The sequence below is a fragment of the Homo sapiens genome, chromosome 19 (genome assembly GCF_000001405.40).
Source record: "Homo sapiens chromosome 19, GRCh38.p14 Primary Assembly".
NCBI lineage: Eukaryota > Metazoa > Chordata > Mammalia > Primates > Hominidae > Homo > Homo sapiens.
In genome coordinates, this window is record NC_000019.10 from 40,982,528 (window position 1) to 40,989,052 (window position 6,525).

The 6,525-nt window shown below is 44.0% G+C and overlaps 3 annotated features.

Annotated features, from left to right (window-relative positions):
* Nucleotides 1-411: an enhancer, noted in NCBI's record as "-8 kb enhancer fragment". NCBI's record gives the evidence for it as "EXISTENCE:reporter gene assay evidence [ECO:0000049][PMID:12571232]".
* Nucleotides 207-222: a protein binding site, noted in NCBI's record as "NR3". NCBI's record gives the evidence for it as "EXISTENCE:protein binding evidence [ECO:0000024][PMID:12571232]".
* Nucleotides 207-222: a protein binding site, noted in NCBI's record as "NR3". NCBI's record gives the evidence for it as "EXISTENCE:protein binding evidence [ECO:0000024][PMID:12571232]".

The window sequence follows — 6,525 nt, forward strand, 5'->3', positions numbered from 1 at the left end:
CTTTCTCCATCCACAAAATGGGGGTGAAAACAATTACTACATCAAAGGGTGACAACTAAGTGAATTACTCTATTGAAAGCACTTCATGCCTCCTTATCAGTGCTCCCCAAGGGTGGAATGAGGACCCAGAGTACCCGTATTAGGCCATACTTGTGTTGCTATAAAGACTGTGCCAGATTGCACAACACAGCAGGAGACAGGTCCTGGGGTCAGGAAAGTCCATGGTGGCATCTTTCCTAGGTCAGGAAAGTGTGGGTTGTACTTTGTTGGTCCTCTCCTCGTGGGTTGGGGAAGTATGGGGTGCAGCTGCTCCTGGCAGCTTTGACTTTCAGCCTCAGATAATGCATTGCCTGTGTCTAATCCACATGGATGTGGGGTGACTCAGCCACCTCCATTCCCTGAATCAGCATCTTCAGTGGCGGCAAGTGGTTTGTTTAGCTATGCAAGCAAGATGCAGATTTCCCATTTTAAATGAGAAAAAAAGCAGCAGGCAGAGACAGCAGATGTGGACACATTCATTCACATGTTGGGTGATTAGGGACTGACCCCTGCCAGGGGCAGGGAGGGGACAGGCTCACAGCAGTGATGGAGACAGACCCAAGCCTAGGGGACATCAATCAAACTGGACCCAGTATCTGTGCTTCTGGATCTCAGATTCTAGAGAAACAGAGACACAGAAGGGGATAGAAGAGGGTGGGGAAGAGGTAGGGGGCAATGGGAAGAGAGGGGGGTTGCATTGATTTGAGATCTTTCTTCTTCTTAAAGAACGTTTAGTTACTGTAAAGTTCCTCTGTGAGCTATCTGCACCCCATGTTTATTGTAGCATACTCACACAGCCAATATATACAATCAACCTAAGTGTCTATCAACAGATGAATGAATGGATAAAGAAAATGTGCTATGCATGCATGTACACACACACACACACACACACACACACACACACAAATATTATTTAGCCTTAAGAAAGAAGAAAATCCTGTCCTTTGCAACACCAGGGGTGAACCTGGACCATGTTACATTAAGTGAAATAAGTCAGGCTCAGAAAGATATATACTGCATGATCTCACTTTTAAGTGGAGTATAAAAAAGTTTAACTCACAAAAGCAAAGAGTAGAATGGGGGTTACCAGGAGTTGGTGGAGAGGGTGAGGAGATGTTGATCAAAGGATACAAAATGTCAGTTAGGAGGAATAAGTTCAGGAGATCTATTACATAAATGGGTGACTATAGTTAATAACAATGGATTGTGTTAACTATACATTAATTGAAAAGCAATTACTTGAAATTTGCTAAATTTGAAAATTGCTAAGTGGTTTATGACTCCCACCTGGGGGTGAAGCAATGCTCCACAGCCACTGAAAGCAACCCTGCTCTCCTCAAGAGACCCCGCTGAGCATCTGCTGAAGACCCGGGCATTAGCCCCTCCTGCCTACCTCAGTCAGTGCCCACACACAATTGAGGGGTCTGAGGACAGGCCCACCTGATCCAGCTCCACCCCTCTAGTGCCCAAACATGTCATACGGGGGACTAGGTATCATCCTGCTCCATCCAACACCTTTGGCAGCTGAGTATCAAAGTACCAAAGTACTCGGCACCTGAGTACTCCTCCCAGGGAGGAGGTGGGCCCACCCAACCTGCCGCTACCACCATGGCTGGCACCCACCTGCATGTGCCACCAGCAGGCCTGGTGACTGGCCTATCCAGCCCATTATACCACCAACCACAAAAGCATGGACCATTTTGGAGCTAGAGGATTATCCTGCCACAGCTACTGTTCATGCCATGTCCACCACGCAGGGGCCTGAGGTCCCACCTACCAGCCCAGCCCACCATTCCACTGTCAGAACCTGAGAAAGTCACCTGGAGGCCCAAGAATTGGCCCACCTAGATCCACTAACACCATTGCCAGTGTATGCTACCCTCAGACCCAAGGACAGGCATACTCACCATGCTGCTGCCACCCCTTGGCGCACCTAATGTCCCCATCTCAGAACAACTTTACCACGGCTTCCACTAACAACCACACCCTAAGCCAATGGGGAAATCACAGACACTACTGACACTGTTTACAGAGGAAGAAATCGTATGGGAACCACACTAATGCGTGCACTCAGAGTCAAAGTCAAAGTGCCCAACCCAACCAACACCATAGGTACAACTTCAGGGAAAATGTCCTCCCCTATGAAAGCAGATTCAAAAAATTAAAAGAAGCAACCATGATCCCAAATGCACAGATATCAATGTAAAGACACAAGAAACATGCAAAAGCAAGAAAACATGACACCCCCAAAGGAACACAATAATTCTCCAGCAAGAGATTCTAAAAAAAATTAATCTAGGCCAGGTGCGGTATCTAATACTTGTAATACCAGCACTTTGGGAGGCCAAGGCAGGTGGATCACTTGAGGTCAGGAGTTCGAGACCAACATGCCCAACATGGTGAAACCCCACCTCTACTAAAAATACAAAATTCGCCAGGAGTGGTGGCACACACCTGTAATCCCAGTTACTTGGGAGGCTGAAGCATAAGAATTGCTTGAACCTGGGAGGTGGAGTTTGCAGTGAGCTGAGATCGCACCACTGCACTCCAGCCTAGGCTACAGAGGGAGACTCCATCTCAAAAAAAAAAAAAAAAAAGAAGAAGAGGAAGAAGAAATCCATAAAATGCCTTAAAATTCAAAAGAGTGATATTTAAAAAGCTCAGTGAAACACAAGAGAAGTAAAAAAAATACAAAAATGTCAGAAAATTCAGAATATGAATGAGAAATTTACCAAACAGATCACTATCATAGAAAAAAAGATCCAAACAAATTCTGGAACTGAAGAATTCATTGAATTAAATACAAAACAAATTCAAAAGCTTCAATGATACACTAGATAAAAAAAAATTAACAACTACATAACCTGAAGACAGGTCTTTTGAAATAACTCAGTCCAGAAAAAAATAAAAAAATAAGAAACAATAAGCAAAGCATATCTGATATATAAAACATAAGAAAGCAACCAACTATTCAAATTTTGACTATCCCAGAAGGCAAAAAGGAAACAAAAGGGATAGAAAACCTGTTTAATGAAATAATAGCTAAATTCTTCTAAAATCTATCAAGAGATTTAGATATCTAGATATACGAAGTTCAGAGACCCCTAGGTAGTTACAATGCAAAATGTTCTTCTCCATGGCACATTGTATTCAGATTGCTTAAAGTCAAAGATTAAGAGCAAATTCTAAAAACAGTGAGAAAAAAGCATTTAGCCATCTATAAAGGAGCCCATCAACAGTGGATTTGCAAGCAGAAACCTTACAAGCCAGGAGAAAATGGGATCATATATTCATTGAGCTGAGTTTTCGCTCGCTCTCCACCACTGCTGAATGCCGCCTGCAGACGTGCCACTGACTTCCACCCGTCCGGATCCAGCATGGTGTCCACTGATAGAAAAAAACTATCTGCAAGATACTGTACCCAGAAAAGTTATACTTTGTAAATGAAAAGGAAATAAAGTCTTTCCCAAACAAATAAAAGCTGAGTAAATTTATCATCACTAAACCATACCTACAAGAAATGCTTAAAGGGATCTTACACATAGAAGCAAAAGGAGGATATCTACCATAAGGAAGCACACAAAATATAAAACCCATTGGTAGAGAAAACACACAAATGAGGAAGAGAATAGACTCAAATGGAAGCACAACAACAACAAAAAACCCACCAAACTGTTACAGGAGGGTCTTTCTTTTTAGAGCTCCCAAGATGGTGATGGGCCGCTCCCAGATGGGGCAGGCCACTTCCAAGATGGCAGCAAGCCTTTTGTTCTCTGAGCTGGGGTTCTTGGCCTCATGGATTCCAAGGAATTGAACCCTGGGCCATGCAGTGAGTGTTATAGCTCTATTAGAAGCCATGGGTCATGGAAGAGAACCGTGGAACCCAGTGACTAGTGTTCAGCTCGATTAGAACAAACCCAGGCACTTAGCCATGGAAGAACAGTGGTGAGCCTTTAGCCTGATTGGGAGCAGCAATGGGTGCCTTGCTGGGTCAGGAGTGCAGCGGACACCATGCTGGATCTGGAGGGGTGGAAGTCAGTGGCACATCGGCAGGCGGCATTCAGCAGTGGTGGACAGCGAGCAAAAGCTCAGCTCAAGCTGGAACAAACATGGACCAGAAGAGTGTGCATTGGCAAGATTTAATAGAGTGAAAACAGAGCTCCAATACAAAGAGAGGGGACCCAAAGGGGGTTGCCCACCCCTGGCTCCAATGCCTGGGGTTTATATCCCAATCATTGTCCCTCTCCCTGTGCTCTCAGATGATAGATGATTTGACTATTTCTTTACCTCCTACTTTTAGCCTAATTGGTATTTTAGTGAGCCCTCTTTACTACCTGATTGGTCAGGTGTGAGCTGAGTTACAAGACCTTTGTTTAAAGGTGGGTGCAGTCACCTTCCCCAGCTAGGCTTAGGAACTCTTAGTCGGCCTAGGAAATCCAGCTAGTCCTGTCTCTCAGTACCCCCTCTCAACAGGAAAACCCAAGTGCTGTTGGGGAGGTTGGCCAACAACTGTACTAACTTCTTTCTGCTGAATGGGGGCATAATAGGGGTCATGCAGTTGAGATTTCCTCAGGAGGGATGTCTTTGATGTCATCAACATTGGAGCATGGGCTAGGAGGCAGATCCAGGGGTCTGCCGTAGATCTTAGCCATGGACTGCACCTGGGGCTCCGTTTGAAGAACTATTTGTAGTTTTACAGCTTCAATTCTGGAAGAGACAAACTTAACAAGGAGGTTAAAGACACAGGGATTGAAATGTCTGGCCTGAAGTGCAGGGGATTATTTCTTTGGCACACTTCACAGGCCCTGACTACCTGCTTGATAGTTTTGAAAAGGCCTGGTCCAGCAAATAATGATTTGGCCATTGGATGGGTGCTATCAACGCCTAAATGAAAGGTTTGGTGAAGGGTTTTAAGTAATTTCCATTGGTTAGCTGCAGGCAAAAGTATTTTTCCTTCTTTGGTGGCTAGACATCCTGAGGGGAGGGAACTATGTCCTTGTGAGGTACCCCATTCTATTTCTTCTGCTGAGCACTGGGGCTTGGTTTCCTGGAGGGGATTACCCCATACTAGGGTTCCTTCTATAAGCATTTCTAATGGAGGGTCCCGCCTTGTGGCTCTTTGGCTTCAATATCTGCTTGGTGGTTCCCTTCTATTTCCCTTTCCTTTCCTTTCTGATGACCCCAGCAGTGTAAGATGGCCACCTCTTTAGGTTTCCGTACAGCCCATAATAACTCATAATGGCTTCCTGATGTTTAATAGGTGTTCCCTCAGAAGTTAGGAATTCCATTTCTCACCATATTTTTGTGTAGGCATGGAGGAGAAGGTAAGCATAATTAGAGTGTTTATATATATTTACCCTTTTCCCTTCTCCTAATTCTAGTGTATCATGGCCCCTGCTTTTGCTAGGATGTCTCTCCCTAACAAAGGAGTGGGGCTTTCAGGCATAATTAGAAAGGCATGTGAAAAGAGTAAAGTCCCCCAGTTACAACTTAGTGGCTGGGCGAAGTAACTAGTGACTGCTTGTCCTAGGACCCCTCGGATAGTAACAGATCTGGAAATCCAGCTAGTCCTGTCTCTCAAAACTACAATGATAAACAATAAGAGAAAAAGAAAGGAAGAAAGGATATACATACATAAAGAAGCCAACTAATAATATGACAGGATTAAGCTCTCACATATCAATAATAACCTTGAATTAAATGGATTAAACTTTCCACTTAAAAGAAAGAGACTGGCTGAATGGATTTAAAAAGCATGACCCAGCTATATGCTGCCTACAAGAAACACATCTCACCAGGAAAGACATATATAGTGAAAGTAAAGAAATGAGAAAAGATATTCCATGCAAATAAAAACCAAAAGTGAGCAGCAATACCTATGTTTATAAAGGAAACAGACTTTAAGTCAAAAACTGTAAAAAGAGACAAAGAAGGTCAATACATAATGATAAAAGGATCAATCGAGCAAAGGATCCATGAGGAAATTCCTGCCTAATAAATTTTGGTCAGACCGGTTGTCTGCTCTCAAACCTTGTCTCCTGATAAGATGTTATCAATGACAATGCTTGCCCGAAACTTCATTGCAATTTTAATTTCACCCCGGTCCTGTGGTCCTGTGATCTCGCCCTGCCTCCATTTGCCTTGTTATATCTTATTACCTTGTGAAGCATGTGATCTCTGTGACCTACACCCTATTCGTACACTCCCTCCCCTTTTGAAAATCACTAATAAAAACTTTCTGGTTTTACGGCTCAGGGGGCATCATGGAACCTGCCGACATGTGATGTCTCCCCCGGACCCCCAGCTTTAAAATTTCTCTCTTTTGTGCTCTGTCCCTTTATTTCTCAGGCTGGCCGACACTTAGGGAGAACAGAAAAGAACCTACGTGGAATATTGGGGGTGAATTTTGCCCGATATCTGGCTGAATTTCCCCTGATAATGCCACTCTCTATGTCCATGTGTACACATTGTTTAGCACCCACT